The sequence below is a fragment of the Homo sapiens genome, chromosome 9 (genome assembly GCF_000001405.40).
Source record: "Homo sapiens chromosome 9, GRCh38.p14 Primary Assembly".
In the NCBI taxonomy this organism is placed as follows: Eukaryota; Metazoa; Chordata; class Mammalia; order Primates; family Hominidae; genus Homo; species Homo sapiens.
This window is the reverse complement of record NC_000009.12, coordinates 93,548,709-93,566,344: the sequence shown is the minus strand read 5'-3', so window position 1 is coordinate 93,566,344 and position 17,636 is coordinate 93,548,709. Positions and strand designations below refer to the sequence as shown.

The following is a 17,636-nucleotide window of genomic DNA, read 5'->3' as shown; positions in this document are numbered from 1 at the left end:
GTAAGTCTGCTTTATCAAACAGAATTTTTTTATCCCCTTGGTTGCTTGAAACTGAGCTATCAAACAAATTAATCATATATTAATGTCCCTCTAAGCCGGAAACCTGGAATTACTTTGAAAAGGTAAAATATTTTTCAACTTTGGTTTTCTGATCTTTTCAGTAGTTGTTTCGATTTGAATTAAACCTCTATAAAATTAGCTTTTACAAGTGAATTTAAAAGCCACGCCATACTTTATACTAAAAGAATAAAGATTTTTATTAAGCATTGTAAGTTGCATTCAATAGCCTTCAGATACACCACACCACAATCCATCGACAGTCAATCAAACCCAACAGCAGTTCATTCTTGCACAATCCATGAGTTAGGGCAAAACTCCCTTCAACTTACAGTAAGATCCTACTTAGCTCTTGCGGGCAGGGGTTGGGGAATTACACCTCATTTCTGATCACTAATGTGATGAAGAGCATCAGAAGTATATGAAAACGATAAGAAGTGATTCTGATTTCAAAGTACATTGTTTGGAAACATTAACAAAAACATCAAAATGATAGAAGTATACCTGCTTCTACTAAATTCTTGATGGGAAAGTTCTCAAGAACAAGCAATTTGTTTCCTGCTACAGAAGGGGGGGGTGGTTTTTTTTTTTTTAAGATCAAAGGGTTTTTTTTCACAGAATTTCATATTTGCTAATATGAAGGCATAAAACAGCAACAAAGAACAATAATGCATACAGCAGTGAATACACCAGGGTAATGTTGATATTCGAAACGGCTAGATAATTTTTGGGGGGCTTTAGAATAAATGCAACAGAGGTCAATAATCACAAAATTTTAAGGTTAGAGCAAGATCAGTCAATGACTAAACAGAGTTAACATCTTTTATAGGACTATTACTGATTATTAGCATTTTTGTTTTGCAAATGGGCACATACTGTTAAGAATGGAAGAAAGGACGATAACATGCATATTAACTACACACTTTAAAAATTATGAACCATGCAGAAGTTTAGCTCAAGTAGTAGTACTAATGGTCTACATCCGATTCAAAACCACATAGTTCATTGATCACAGATGCATGGTATTAGTCACGAAAGTTTCAGAACACATTGTGTTGATTTTGAAAGGTCATTTGCATCTTCTATGATTTCAACTTTATCTCCATTTAACTTGCTTGTAAAGTATGTATGATGTATTGTATATTTAAAATCAGCAGAACGGCAATATTACTCTATAATTTTTTAGTTTTGATAGTTGCACTTTTTTTTTTTAACACAAAAGAACCACATCAACAGTGATGAAATTTAAGAAAGAAAAACTGTGGTTGTGCCTTATTTCTTTCATAATCATAAAAATCAAAGCCTTAAAGAAAGCTTCATTGTGAAACAGTAATGCAAAATCAAATATAATGGCATACATATGGTGCCAAATGCTAAAAATTATATTTTAAGCTATATATACTTAAAGACTGCCAAAATTTGTTTTCTTTATAGTTCAAGAAACACAACTAAAGGCTTTTGTCATAACCAGTTTAAACTTTATGTGTACTTCATTTTAAGTGCGGGAGTCAAATGCTCTTCATTTTCTTTCTCTTTTTTGTTTTATTGTAGCATTTTGACTACAACTGGTTAAAACTAAAAATGTGTTGTTTAAATCTCTGATATCAAAGAGGGATCTGAATTTCCAAAGTCCTCATTTTTCTCTTACGGAAAGGACAAAATGTACATAACTGCAGGCTCTCTTTCTCTCCAGATATTCCTAAATCCTTACCCTTCCAGCATCCTTCACCCTCTATAAAAAATAAGTTTACTCTTCTTTATTTAAGACAGCTGCCTCCAGAGCAGCTTCTCTGCGGCAAGCGCTGTCTGTACTTAGTGCATTTAAATGAGGATTTGTATTGCACGTTTTAGAGTCATTATTCAAGGCACTTTCAGAGTGGCTGGGGGCCCTGGCGTCACCCGTGCTCCCGTTCATCTGGGGAGCCGGCTTCTCCTCGGCCATCACTCCGTTTTCAGCCAGGGACCCGTCTGAAGACATAGCAGAGGACTTCGATTCCCCAGATTTTGACTTAAGTTCTTTGGCCACTTCTTCTGCTGAAGCAGCATAAGGAGGTCTGCCCTGTTTAAAATGAAGGACAACAAATGAGAAGGTGGTTTCTGATAAACAGAAGAGAGAGGATGCCAATTTTGGCCTAATGACACTCTCTGCAGATTCAAGAGCAGAAAATGCCCAGCTGGGTCCTTCTAACCCTGTCTTTGCTTTGACTTTTGGGCGGTAGATGCTCTACCTGTCTCAGTCAGTTCCCTCCATGGCCCCTTCCCTCAACTCCTCTGTAGTTAACACCCTGAAAATGAGGGAGATTCCCCCTTCAGGAGCTCTGTCTAATCCTTTGTATGGCACTAAATTGTTTAAAGTAACAAATGCCCCTCAATAAGTCCTCTCTAAAATTGCGACTGTTCCCACTGCCACAAAACAAACAGGGTCTCCCACATCTGCCTGTGATGTGCAGCAGCACACACACCCCATTTCTACTGGGGAAATACAGTCATTGCTAGGGAACCTTAACAAGAAATCTGCACTGATAATTGCCACGTGTTTGTGAAATAACTCTTCTGAATGGGTCTTCCCCACTCCTCTGAACAGATTTAAAAATAAGCCTCTGAAAAAAATGGTCCTTGAGACTAATCCAGCACATTTTCTGAAAGACATGGCTCTCTGTGAAGGCAGTGAAGACAGATCTTGAATTGCTCCTATCATTAGACCAGGGCTCCTCAACCTTAGCATATGATACGCTGGCTCTGTCCACTCTCCGTGATGGGGCTGTCCCACACACCGTAGGGTGTTTAGCAGCACAAACATCATGTTGTCTTCACCCGTTAAAATGTCTAGGCTTCACCCATTAAAATCCAGTGCCCACACCAAGTCTTGACAATCAACGTCTCCAAATGTCCCTTGGGGGCCAATCACCAGGGCTGAGAGCCACTGTCATAGACTGACTCGGTGCTGAAGAAAACATGGATGTTTTTCACCTTCAAACAGTCATTTTACAGACGAGAACAGGAACCTTCCAGCTCGTCATCGCATTCCCTTCCCAACAAAGATGGTGGTACCTTCCAGCATCTTCTAGGCCTCCCATTCTGAAAACCAGGGTATTTGCCTTGTTGATGACAAAATCATCAACCCAGATGGAGATGTGACCCTTGCCTAAGGAATGGCCCCCATAAACCAAGGGTCCCCACATACTCTCCTACAACATCCTCTATTTTACCTTCCAACCCTAAAGTTCAGAAATATTAACGCACCCTTCTCCATGAATCAATGCAATCGTCATTTTCTTTGAACCTTGAGACAAATAATATAAAACATAAAAATATAGCAGGACCGCTGGGCATGGTGGCTCACGCCTGTAATTCTAGCACTTTGGGAGGCCAAGGCGGGCGGATCACCTGAGGTCAGGAGTTTGAGACCAGCCTGGCCAACATGGTGAAACTGCAACTCTACTAAAACTACAAAAATTAGCCGAGTGTCGTGGCACACACCTGTAATCCCAGCTATTCGGGAGGCTGACGCAAGCGAATCGCTTGAACCCGGGAAGTGGAGGTTGCAGTGAGCGGAGATTGTGCCACGGCACTCCAGCCTGGGCAATAGAGCGAGACTCCATCTCAAAAAAAAAAAAAAAAAGAAAAAGAAAGAAAGAAAAAAAAAGAAACTACAAGTGGCTGTTCCAGCTCTGTCAGGGCTAGGCAATGCCCAAGGTAAGCCAAGCCCATCGTGTCACACCAGGCGGGAAGCTACCAGAGACACAGGGTCATGGCAAAGGGGAGAGACAACCTGAAGAGGCACTTAACAGCAAAATGATCTGGGCTCTAGGGAATGGACATTTGGTGAGCAGCTGTGTGCCAGTTACTGTGTTAGACACTTGACAGCTAAAGCATTACCCTCACAGCTCTTCTGTCTGAGCGCAGGTACTAGAAGTGCAAGCTCAGACAGGAGACATCCCTGAGGGCATTGAACTGGCACAAACATCATGTTGTCTTCTTACCTGAATTGCTGCCTGGTTTTTGTAACCTCTGCCATAGTACCTTCCACCTCTTCCAAATGTTCTAATCACTGGGGTGGAAATAACTCCTCTTGGACGCCTAAATGAATGAAAAAGGACAACAGTAAACACTTAAATCTGTTACAGACAACATTTAAAATAGTATCAAATGATTTTAAAGCCATCCAATCTTACGTTTTATGAAGCACTGAATTAACCCATTTATGCCGGAAGTTGCAATTTGTTGAATTTTTGCAGTCAGACCTTGAGCAGTAGGACATAAAGAACTCCCACATGCTTTGCGTTCCAATAATGGAACACTAGGCGTAAACAGGTTAAGTATGATCATAGGGAAGATTTATTCCAAGGAATCAATCTTATTTTTTTGGTTCATATCCAATGCATTTGCAGTCAAATGCTCTACCCCTGAGCTACATCTCCCATATCCAATGCATTTGATTTGAAAACTAATACTTTAAAAATATTAAGGCACCTGGTTAATTGAAAATTGTATGGTTAATTATTTAATAATTGTTAATTATTTAATGGTTAATTAAATAATTACATAATACTATAAATGGGATCCTATGCAAACATTATAAATGATGTTAAAGGCTGTGTGCAGTGGCTCACACCTGTAATCCCAGCACTTTGCAAGGCCGAGGTGGGTGGATTGGTTGAGCTCAGGAGTTCAAGACCAACCTGGGCAACATGGCGAAACCCTGTCACTACCAAAAATACAAAAATTAGCCAGGCATGGTGGCACATGACTGTGGTCCCAGCTACTCAGGAGGCTGAAGTGGGAGGATCGATGGAGCCCAGAAAGTCAAGGCTACACTGAACTGTGATTGTGCCACTGCACTCTAGCCTGGGTGACAGTGAGACCCCATCTTAAGATAAATAAATAAATAAAAACTAAATAATTAAATACAAATGATATTAAAGAAGAATGTATCTAATGATATAAAAATGTTCCTACTTAAACTTCCAAAAAAAAGCAAGTTAGAAGCTGTTTTCTTTACTTATACAAAAGACATTTTCGTGGCTCAGAACTTACCCTCTAGCTGGTCCTCCGACAGAAACCACCTGCAGGGGGAAAGGCCCCCGGCCCCCACGGCCCCGCCTGCTCCCAGCCCAATGGCCAACCACAGTGCCAGCTATTTCTAGTTTGCCTCCCTGAGAAGGTATAGGTTGGACTCCTGCATAAAAAATATACAAAAAGACAAAATCTTTACAATCACAGAATTAAGAATAGCAAAAAGATACAAGCAAGAAACTTCTTTTCAGTTTTGGTTTATATTTACTATGAAGCTACTTTCTCCTGTTTTGTACAATTTTTTATTATGTAGTGTATCTATGTGCACACTGTTTGACTTTAAACTACTGTGAAGAACCCATGAGAACTGAATTAGGTTACAACTGCAAATGTGCAAGGCTTTTTAGATAGAAACAGATACAATAAAGTGTCATCAGGTGCATATGGCATGCCTTCTATATTACCAAGATGGCAATCTGCAAACTCAAGAATGTTTTTCTCTTTAGGCGAATACTTCTAGGTTTACTACCTTAACTGAACATCATAGAATCAATAAATCTAGCCTGTATTTCTTACTGTGTTTTTAAATTAGAATTTCCATAAGCAGAGTCACAAATAGAATTTACTAACTTCTTTTGATTACTGCAAATTGTAAGTTTTCTGACCTAAGAAAATTCTCTAATTGCTAATTGGCAGCAAAACTTCTGTTTAAAAACAAAAAAATAAGCAAACAAAACCAGAGCCCCAAGCATCTTGTTTTCTGACAGTGAGAATGGATAATAAACAACTATCATCTTGGTGTTAGCTGTGGCAATTCAGCACTGTCCAACAGAAACCTACAACAAGCTTATATTTTTTTGTAGCCACATGAAAAATGTACAAAGAAACAGAGGAAAGAAGTTTTAAAAATGTATTTATTTAACTCAATGTATCCAAAATAATACTATTTCAACATGTAGTCAAGATTTTTTTTTTTTTAAGACAGGGTCTCGCTCTGTCACCCAGGCTGGAGTGCAGTGGCACAATCACGGCTCACTGCAGCCTTGACCTCCCAGCTCTAGCGATCCTCCCGCCTCAGCCTCCTGAGTAGCTGGGACTACAGGTGTGCACCACCATACCTGGCTAATTTTTAAAATTTTTTGTAGAGGCAGGGGTCTCACTATATTGCCCAGGCTGGTCTTGAACTCCTGCCTCAAGCAATTCTCTCTCCTTGGCCTCCCAAAATGCTGAGATTATAGGCATGAGCCACTGTGCCTGGCCCAAGATAAAAAATTGATTAGCTATTTTAGTCTGCTTCCCATTTTAAGTTTTAAAATCTGATATGTATTTTACATGTTCTAGCCAGAGCTTAAGTGCTCAACAGAGCAGTGGCCAGCAGCTACTATACTAGGCAGTGCAAATCTGAGTTCCAGACACAATTTTAAGAAACTCAGGAAGCAGGTTCCTTTTATCATTCCAGTGTAAGAATTCACTTCTTGCCCTACACTATCCATAGTACAATCTCCCCTCTCCCTCCATCTTTGATCCCAACTACAGGCCAGCTTCAGTTTCAAGGCACTAGAAGGAGCTGAAGCAAATCAAGAAGCAGAGAGGAAACATGGCTGCGAGCTGCATGAGGAGCAGTCACAGAGCAGAGTAGCACACTGCAGGAGGCTGGTGGGCAGACAGAGGAGGCAGAGAGGCATGCAGCTGCACCAGGGAAAGGAGAGGTGACCTGCAGACAGAGGGGCTGACCCGTCGCCAAATCTGCAAGTCACCTTTCCGCACAGTTCCCTTGCTGGCCTCCCTAACTATCCCATGTAACTGAGTTGGAAAAACATTGTTGATCAAGAGAGAAAGGCTTGCCCATCCTCAATGCAACTCCAAAATCACATCTGAACAGTTAATCCTGTTATGTGACTTGATGGGCAGATTTAGATCTGCAGTCCCAAAATGTGGGATTAGGACAAAGATACAGGTCACTGACTTCCAATTACAGCACCATCACAAGACATTGCTTCCTATGCTAAATGTTAAGACCCTTTTCTCTTTTGCAAGCCTAATACAAATGCAAAGAGAAGCACTGGGAATCTACAGTAAACTGCCTTGTTTATATGCCCAACATTAGATCTTTGTTTAAAAATGTTTCTGCGAAACAAACTGTGACAGACTTTTTATGTCAGGAATTCTGTGACCATTAGCATTTTCTATACAAGCATGATAATCTTTACCAAAAGATGGCTGCTTGGGAAAGAAACGCCACTATTAGCAGCTCATCCTATGAACACGAGGCGATGGTCAGGTTACCCAGGTGCACAGAAAGGTTCTGTTCTAGGTGGACACTCAGTGGTCTACCCTGAAAGGAGAGACTGGCCACAGCAGAGCCGCTGCTGAGACCTGAGAGCAGAGAGTCTCAGGAGGAGTGGTCAATGAGGGTCAGAGCGGGGACCCAGAAGAAAGGCCGTTCTGCTGGAGGAGGGGCTCATGAGGACAGTAGAGGAAGGAAGGCGCCAGACGATGGAGCGAAGGAAGTGCTGGCAGGCAGAAGCTCTGGGAAGGGGTGGGTATAATTACCGCCCTGGGACTTGCTAGTCCTGCTGCTGTCACTGCCTGAGAAGGCTCCGCAGTGTCCCGATGCTGCCGCCACACGGAAGGCACGGTAAGGGCCTGTTGCTACCGTTTCCCCATAGGGGCCTCCAAAGCCACAGACGCCTGTGGGACCCGGGGTAGAGAGAGAGGGGAGAAGTGTAAGGGACAGGACTCAGGGCCCTGCTGGGTATTCAGGCAGAGTGGCCCCTGCCTCCTCCAGCTGCCATGGAGGGGTCTCCTGGCCCCTCTTGTCACCTCACTGTCCTGTGCCCATGGTCCCTGGGGACCAGTATTGTAAGGCCACCCTCCCTGCAGTGGGTCATTCAACAGGGCACTAGCATGGGGCTCAGGAAGGGCCCTGGGAGATGAGTCCTGGAAGATGGCTCTCTCTGACCTGGGTGGGTTTATTTTCCCTTACACATGAGAAACAAATATATCTTAAAATGTGAGCAGAGTTTTCAGCTTGATTGACAGATTTTACGGTGCAGCTTTTGCATCTGCATCAGCAGGTCCCTCTCCCCTATCTCCAGGATTAAACTTGCTCCTCACGGACTTGAAGAACTGCTGCTGCAGGATCTCCAAGACCAACAGTGACAAGGTCAACACAGCAGATGGGCTTGCCTATAAGGGCTGCACTTTCTTTACAGGAATCTGGCATCTGTTACCCACAGGAATACGTCCCAATCAACTCACCTGCAAAGCCTCTGCCCCTGCCCTGAGAGGGTGGGACAGGCCCAAAGTGCCGGGGGTACGCAGAGGCAGGGTAGAAGGGCAGGGCAGGTGGCGGCGGGAAAGGGAGCGTGTGGCTCTGCCTGGAGAAGCTGAGCCCCTCGAGGACGCTCTGGCGCATCTTCTCTACCTTGGCAGCCTGATCAGCCTGGAAGACAAGGACCAGCATGTGAAAATGCCATCCACAGGGGGTTTTAATTGAATTTAAATGAGCACTAAAGAAATAAGATCTATCAACTATACAGTTGGTTCCCTTTATTCATGAATTCTATGTCTGCAAATTCTCCTACTTGCTAACGTTTATTTGTAACCACAAAAATCAATACTTATGGCAGTTTTCTGGTCGTCTGCAGACTTGTGCAGAACACGGCAAAGATTTTTGTTGCCTGATGCACTGACCCCAGCTGAGGTCAAACAAGACAACGCTTGCCTTCTTGTTTCAGCTCATACTGAAAACAAGAATCCTTTTCACAGTTTATTAAGTGCCACGTGTTTCACATTTTTGTCCTTTTTTGTTGGTAATTTCACTGTTTAAAATGGTCCCTGGCTGGGTGCAACAGCTCACGCCTGTAATCCCAGCACTTTGGGAGGCCAAGGTGGGTGGATTGCTTGAGGTCAGGAGTTCAAGACCAGCCTGACCAACATAGCAAAACACCGTCTCTACTAAAAATACAAAAATTAGCTGGGCATGGTGGCAGGCACCTGTAATTCCAGCTACTAGGGAGGCTAAAGCAGGAGAATCACTTGAACCTGGGAGGTGGAGGTTACAGTGAGCTGAGACCGCACCACTGCACTCCAGCCTGGGCGACAAGAGCGAAACTCCATCTCAAAAAAAAAAAAAAAAAAACCAAAACAAACAAACAAATAAAATGGTCTCCAAGTGTAGTGCTGAAGTGCTGTCTGGTGTTCCTAAATGCATAAGGAGGCTGTGATGTGCCTTACAGAGAATATACGTGTTACAGAAGCTACTGGCTGTGAGTTCAATAATAATGAATCAACAATCCATATTATATAAGGTGTCTTTAACGAAAATGCACATGAAATAAGATTATATACTGATTGGTTAACAAAAATATGTGACCAGAGCCTTGAAGGAACCCAGCACCTTGTATTGCCCCTAGGAGCAATGGTCAGTATTCACTAATTTGGCGTTCAAGGTGAATTTTAGAACATTACTACCACAAATAATGAGAAACAATGTTATATCAGGAGCTTGGCTCATCCTGGGTACTGAAGTGATATTTAGTGACACTCAGTACCAGGCCCAACCTAAAACAGAATCTTGAAACACAGGATGATAAATATGGTATAAAAGATGACAGATTTAACCAGTGAGCTTTATTTCATTGCAGTTAAAGGCAGCCACCCGGCCCCGCAGCATACCTGACCATCACAGAGGTCAATGAGTGGGGTCTTTTCCCGGCTGGCTTTGAGGAGTTTGGATTGGAAGAGCTTCCCATCAAAATACATCCAAGGACAACAGTGTTCCCAGGGGATTGGCTGTCCGCATGCATCATTTGCAAACAAGGCCATGTCTACTCCACTCATGAAGAGAGCTGATAGCTGAATTCCTCGGGGATCTAGGTTCTCAATCTTTAAATTGAAAAGAGTAATTTCTATGGAATAAGAGTACTACAGTATTAAATTCTTTCAAAGTCTTAGTAAAACTCTCCAAAGTTAACAGAATATTCCTCAACAAAACAGCACCACTAAGTAGTCCTACCATTACCTTATATTGACCTAACACTGGCCTCATTTGAACAGAAATACTTATGTGATTTAACACATTTGAATTTAAGAGAATATTTTATAAACATACTCAAGTATTTCAGGTTGGGTTTATAAAGCGTTCCGCAGTGTAGAGTAACACTGTACTTAAGGCTGACGTGTGACAAAATGAGCAATGATGTGTGGTCTCCTTAGAGCCCAGGGCTCCACAATCTCTTCGTAAAATAACACTTCACATTTCAGATCTGCACACAGGTAACGTATTAACAGAAAGAGTGTCAAAACTGAACACTCTATTAAGATTCTGCATTTTTAAATAGTTACATTAAAAGATTATTTGGTATAATTACATTCTAAAATAAATTTATACTTTATGTTCACATTATTTTATATGTCAAGGTTTTTAATTGCAACTTATTAATAAGACTGTCAAAATGTCTTTTGGAGAAATGGATAGCTTATAAATGAAAGAAGACAACAAAAATATGGTTCTTGAACCATACATACTACTAGAATTTGTGCAGACTTTTACTTCCCTCAGTGTTAAGTGCTGGGTGCCTACCTTCTATACGTAGAGCCCACGCTTCTAGTGTCTGATAAGCAGAGTGAGAAACATTAACACGAGTACAGTCAACTCTTGATCATCTGCATGTGAAAGGCCTAGTTTGTGGATTATCCAGGATCAAAGTTTAGCCCTGCTCTGGCTTTTGTCTTCCGACTTTGGTGGCTTTTCAAGAATGCAATGTTTATGGGAGATCAATCTAAGCAATGCCTACATGTGGCAGGTAAAGGGGCTTTTCATTAAAGAGAAAAAGGTCATTCTGGTGCCAAATGCTAATAAACTTACAATCATCTGCTGTTTTTGTTGTTTGTGTTAACAGTTCCTATTATCAACTAACACTGTTTCCCAACCTTTTTTTAAATTTTCACAATACAGTTGACCTTCCAAAACCTGGAGAAGTCTGTTCACCAATTTATAAAAGGTGTTTATACCTCTGGATCCTATTGTACATCACCAGCTCCTCCTTTTCCCATGCAGTTGTTGGGAAGTGAACTAAAAAATGTTCCCTTGGGGGCAGGTAGGGCTGGGGTGATAGAATTAGATGCATTTTTATATTTATGTGCAAAGTGGAGGAAGAGAGGTCATACTAGAACAAAATGGAGAAAATGTACTTGATTCATTTAGACCCCAGCCACCCCCACCTCTGAGCTGCAGAAAGGGAGAATTCTCAAGGCAGAAAGAGGGAGCCAACCCTGTTGGAAAGCAGCCAAGCACAGGTGTGGCCCATGAATGAATAGGACACCCATCTCCTGGCCCCTTGCACTGCAGAAATTATGACCACAAATCCCTTCCAGTCAGGTGGGGCTCCGCTGCTTCTAGCCCAGGGGCCTCCGTGCCCCTCTCTCTGCCCTACACCAGAGAACAGAGAATCCAGGTCAAGGATTAGGGAGAGAAAATGCTGCTCTAAAGTTGTTTGCCTGGCTATCCAAATGTTAAAACACAAAATGCCACCAACACCCTTTGTGTAAGCACATGCAGCACCATCCTAATGGTGTTTCTTTTTTTTTTCTTTGAAACAGAGTCTCGCTCTGTCATCCACGCTGGAGTGCAATGGTGCAATCTTGGCTCACTGCAACCTCTGCCTCCCAGGTTCAAGCAATTCTCCTGCCTCAGACTCCTTAGTAGCTGGGATTACAGACGTGCGCCACCATGCCTGGCTGATTTTTGTACTTTTAGTAGAGTCAGGTTTTCACCATGTTGGCCAGGCTGGTCTCAAACTCGTGGCCTCATGTGATCTGAGAAGATCCTCGGCCTCCCAAAGTGCTGCGATTACAGGCATGAGCCACCGCATCCAGCCCCTGCAGGTGTTTCTTAGGAACGGGCTGGTGCCAATCACATCCAGATTCAAACCTTTAAGACTAATGTAACCAAAACCATTTACCCGGCAAACGGCTATCTGCATTGCCAAACTGAAGAAACAGCAGCAGATGTATACGGCACACAAGCGCCCTAGTTAAAACTATTAATCTCCAAATTTGCTGACAGGAAGAATGCAGCAAGGCTAGTGTGTGTGTGTGTGTGTGTGTGTGTGTGTGTGTGTGTGTGTGTGTGTGTGTGTGTGTGTATCAAATGGCCTTAACATTAAAGGATTATACTTTTAAGAATTTTTTAAATGTTATTTATAGTTTCAAGATAATTAATGGTTCAATTAGCATTAATCTAATAGAGAAAAGTTCTTAGAATAAGAGCTTGCATAAACAATCTGAATAAAATCTTGACTGCAGTGTAAATTTGCTTCCTTTGAAAATTTTTTAAACTTACATTATGTGGTGTTTTTCTTTCCCTAAATGTTATATATAAATAATAACATTTAATATTTATGGGGAACTTAAGAAATATATATCAAGCACTGCTTTTTTCATTATCTCACTGCCATCTCTAAACAACATAGAATGCAGGCACCTCTAAATAGTACTCCCTTGTACAGACGGGTCACAGAGGGTTCAAGGTCACAGAGCTGGTAATTGGGAGAACCCAAATCTGAACCCTTGATTATAAAATAGCTGCAATATTCACATTCTAACTTCATTCTCTTATATCAATTGAGATAAAATATTCAATATCATCCAAAGTTCCTCAACTAGAGAAATACAGACAAAAAATTCTGACTTTATAAGAAATACAAATATGGAAGTTAATCTCTCTGACCGATTAGCTCAAGAACCAAATTCCAGTAAAGTTACTTTGTCCAACATCTGATTACTGGGCAACAGACTCTTACTTCAATTTGTCATATTTACCTATATGCAAAATAATTCTTACACGTATCACAGACATGTTGCATGCCCCTAATACTGTCTTTAAAGCTCTTCATTTTCCATCTTTTATATTCTGCACTTGGCATGTGAAACTGTTAAAAGAATTTAAGGCAATTATAGGAATGTCAAGGCAAGGGAGAAAGAAACTGGACAAATACTATAATGGTACAAAGTTCCTTCTCATCCTTTACCCACCCTCCTCAAAACACAGGGGTCAGTGCTAATTTTACCTTAATTACATTCATGCTGGTAACCTAGGAGAAGGGCTTAAAAAATATAACAGGAAAAATGAGGGTCATCAATCACTGTCACAGGTATTTAAGGAGCCACATGGAACACTCTCAATTATTCATGGACATGGCAGACGAAGAAAGCATGGATGAGATGAAATTCTTAAAAATTCATTGTAACTAATGGTTTCAATGTCTTGTCCCACCAAACCTCCCATCAGAAAAAGCTAACAAGAGTCCTAACTGTCACCACTGGGTTTTTCCTTCCTCTTTTCCTCCTCTGATGGCCAACCACAGAGTGGACGATAAATGGGAGAAGAGAAACAGGGTCTGGGCAATCCACAAACTGGGTAGCAGGCCCAGACACACCAGTTAACAGTCAAGAGTTGACTATATCACAAACTATGAATGGTGTATTACAACAAAGCACTGTTGTTGCTTTTGATATTGCAAAAAATTTTAATGGTTAAATGAAAAGGCAATTTTAGAATTTAATTTTCTATCACTGAATTTTGGAACCCTCAGCTCTGCATAGGAATTTTTGTAGCATTTAAATAATGATCATTCCTATCAATTCTCAATCTGATGATAGCTGAGAGGATCTTCAATCTTAAAAAACAAAAAAGCAAATAACTGCCTTTCCCCCCCAACAAATGCTATTTTTCCTTATAGCTTTCTCAGAATTTATACTAATCATGAAAATGAAGCACTTACAGGTGTAGGCTGCTCTTATTAAAGGGAACTGTCGACCTCCAGACAAGCAAGACCCAGAGGATCGATGAGTCAGACTGAAGTTTACTATACATACATATGTCTTTCTGAGCATATCTCTACAAATGTCTGGCTTTAGATGAAGAACCAGGAGAAAACCATGAAAGCACTAAGATCTCAAAAGAACCAAAATGAAAGCTTAGAGTGTGATTGTTTTTCAAAAGTTATATCCTATGTGTTGATCCAAAAATGAAAAGGATATGGGATATAAGATGAACTTTGAGTAAAAGTAACTTGATGGTGAATAAGGCTTAGTGGGCATACCTGATACCTGGCGGTCTGATTTTCAGAACTGGGATGTCAATACTGATGTAATAATCTATATAAGAGAAACAGGAGTAGAGGTAGAGGGATGGCACCACACACTAGCAAAAGTATCTCCAACCCCCTGAAGCACAATCTGTGACGAAGACGGTGGTGATGAGACAAACCAGGTGAGGACACGGGAAAGGACCTGACTTAGCACCAGCCACACTGCCTGACGGGGACACCTGACCAAACATTGAAAACAGAAACGTAAATTCAAAAACATTAAAAATAATAATTTCTGTCTAACAAACAGAAAAGCTTGATCTACAAAGTAAAGAACACAATTTGAAGTGAATTCTCCTAAGTTTTGTTTTTTTTACTTAGCTTATTTCTAAGTCACAAGAAGTCTCAGGTGAGCTCCACACAATTGAGGAGGGTCACTTAACACCAAATTACTCAATTTAACATGATAATTTAGGGAAAACTAGAAATTTATTAAGCAACAACTATTGAATACTGAAAATCTATTAAGTGAGCCTAAAATTCCCCTCCATGGAAAGAATGCCTTCATAAAGAATGCCAAAAAGATCTAAAGGTGAAGGCAATTTTGTGGAAAGAGATTAACTGATTACAAATCAAACTCTGTAAAACAAAACAAAATAAAACAAAACAAGAACTGATGGCAAAGAAAAAAACAAAACCCTATACATTGAAAAGAAAAGGCTGATCTACTAATTTAACTAGCTTTGAAAAGTCTTGAACTTTCTAAAATTTAATATGGAAATTAGAAAGCAATTACAACCATGTGAACAAGGTAACTAATGAAAGTATACCAAAAAAGATATCCACACTGAAAAATTAGGTGACAACTTGGAGAAAAATCAATATTGTCAAAACAATTAAAGAACAAAAGGAATTACTAGAAGGCAAAATTAAAAGGAATATGATGTTAAATGCTGACTTAAAAAGGGATAGAAATGATGATGTAACATCGTTCTTCAAGTGGTTTTTTATAAGGGATTTTATAATAGTTGAGGGGCAAAGAATATTTTTTAGAGAAAACTAAAGTTGTAATTAGGAACAATGAAATGAAATAAGAAAAAGAATCCTTGCTAGATGTTAGAAAATTCTTAAGATCAAGCCCTCTCAGGGTTTGGAATCCCCCCCTAAAATATAAAAGGCAAGTTTATTTCATGATGTGATAAATAAGAATAAACATCCAATGGTAAACAAGGGGAAATCATTCTCTGACAAAGTGGGACTAATCATTTCCAAACTGGGGATAGCAAATCCATAACTAGAAAGGAATATTCCTTTTGCCATGAAGGCGATTGATCAAGTTCTTATCATATTAGTATTATTAGTTTAGTGGACTAAAGCAATTAGTTTAAAGAATTAGCAATTCTGCCTGTTGAAAGTTAGCAGTATTACACCAAAATCCAAAGTGAGACTGTCCAAGACAATGCAATGAGGCTGATAAATTACCTTGAGCTCCTGGAGCTGATCAGGCTCGTAGAGTTTGGGGGACAGCGCCTGAGCCAGGAAGGCATCTAGCTCCTGACGCCGAAGGATGCGTGCTCCCGGCCACTGCACCATGTACCTGGTGAGGGGCAGAAACAAAAGGTTGGTGATTACTGAGTGGTCGCCCGTCATATAGACAAGTCCAGTGGGAGGTTCTAGGTAAATCCCGGATGATGTGAGCTAAGAAGACCCATGTGATTTCTTATTCAGCTTTTCTACTTTTCTACTTTCATTTGATGATACCATTACAAATGAAAACAGGATGTCAGAATGTTTTACTTTAGAATAATTAAAAATAGCACACTGAATTGTGGATACTGAAAACTAGCTAGTCAGTGATTTTTGATACAACCTCACTCTTGTGAAACATTTAAACCCTGGAAGTACATTCTAAGTACCAATTTTCAGGATTCATTCATTTTTTTGTTCAAGCCAGGATAGCCAGGAGGCAGACCCTAGGTATAAATAAGAAAGACAAATCCCGAGATGAAAAGCAAAGACCATTGCCTGGCCACTCTGCAGCTGCAGGTCCATGGAGCAGGTAAATAACCGAAGATAGGGCCAGTACCACAAGGTGAGCGGGAGTCAGACTCAAGAAAAGCAATGCGTAGGACCATCACTAGAGCCACGGCAAAATGTGCCCACCCTGAAGTGGCTGCTAAAGGACAATCAATCTCCAAATCTTCAACTTCAACTAGAACAGGTCTGCCTGGGAGTCTCCTTCCCTTCTCAGTAACAGCACTGCCTGAATCACAAACACCCTACAGTACTGCACAAGGCACAACCCCAAGGAGTGTCTGGGCGTGAAAAAGTGAAGGGCTAACTATAATGACTTAGTCATAAACCTTTCTGAAGTCTAACGTTCCCAGTTCTTTGCATTCCATAAACTTGAAGGACAACCTAATCAAGTTGCCAGCTGATCACTAAAAATAACTTCTGATGATAGATTACGACGTGATCTCTGGCAAATAACTCAAAAGGAGTTCAGAGAACCGTGACATGCTTAACAAAGCTCTTTCCATTCCCATCTGCAGAGTAAGTTTGCTCAGTGCTTAAAATCTGAGTTAACAAAACCCAGGGTTAGAGTTGGTGCTGAGCACTAAATCATTCTTGTATTAATTAATATTCATCCATGGGTACACAAACTAAGTAAGGGAGGTTCTAGACAGCTCATTGAGATATATTTTCAGTTGAAGCCCAAAGTAGAAAGTTTACGTGCTCACTAGGTGCCAAGGCATTGGTCTAAGCACCTTACACACTTTAACTCATCTACTGTTATAGAAATTCTGAGACAGGAACAATAATTATCCCAATTTAGAGAAGGGGAAACTGAAGCACAGAGAGCTTATATACGTCATGGTCAAATTAATGTGGCAAAAGTAGGATGTAAATGCAATTTCAAGGAGAACAAACAGCAAATGTTACATTTCTATGGTATTTATATTTGATGAGATACATAAAAGAGTGATGTGAAAGTTTCATTTAATTAAACCATCAATATTTGCAATGACAAAATCACATCCTTTGCAATTGATTAACTGCCACAAATCTTAAATACAATGGTCTTACTGAGGTTTGGTTTTTTTTTGGTTTGTTTTTGTTTTGTTTTTTTTGAGATGGAGTCTTGCTCTGTGGTCCAGGCTGGAGTGCGGTGGCATGATCTCGGCTCACTGCAACCTCCGCCTCCTGGGTTCAAGTGATTCTCCTGCCTCAGCCTCCCAAGTAGCTGGGATTACAGGCACACGCCACCCCACCTGGCTAATTTTTGTATTTTTAGTAGAGACAGGGTTTCACTGTGTTGGCCAGGCTGGTCTCAAACTCCTGATCTAAGGTGATCCACCCACCTCAGCCTCCCAAAGTGCTGGGATTACAGGCGTGAGCCACTGCACCCAGCCTGGTCTTACTGAGTTTTAATCAGGGCCGGATGCAAGAAACAGCAAATATGAA

At 40.9% G+C, this 17,636-nt stretch overlaps 1 protein-coding gene across 13 annotated transcripts in view; it reads right to left on the bottom strand.

Annotated features, from left to right (window-relative positions):
* FAM120A (family with sequence similarity 120 member A) overlaps positions 233-17,636 on the bottom strand; it is a 114,428-nt gene continuing 97,024 nt past the window's right edge. For 4 of the 13 annotated variants that reach the window (NM_001439102.1, NM_014612.5, NM_001439103.1 and 1 more), the window contains 7 exons: positions 15,654-15,768; positions 9,754-9,963; positions 8,335-8,518; positions 7,627-7,764; positions 5,095-5,236; positions 4,041-4,137; positions 233-2,116 (listed from right to left, as the gene is read on the bottom strand). In NM_001439102.1, coding sequence (NP_001426031.1) covers positions 1,805-2,116; positions 4,041-4,137; positions 5,095-5,236; positions 7,627-7,764; positions 8,335-8,518; positions 9,754-9,963; positions 15,654-15,768 — 1,198 coding nt within the window. In that variant the 3' untranslated portion in view covers positions 233-1,804. Of the gene's footprint in view, positions 2,117-2,781; positions 3,341-4,040; positions 4,138-5,094; positions 5,237-7,626; positions 7,765-8,334; positions 8,519-9,753; positions 9,964-9,986; positions 14,239-15,653; positions 15,769-17,636 lie in introns of those variants that run through there. The other 9 variants (NM_001439104.1, NM_001439105.1, NM_001439106.1 and 6 more) reach the window with 5 other exon arrangements.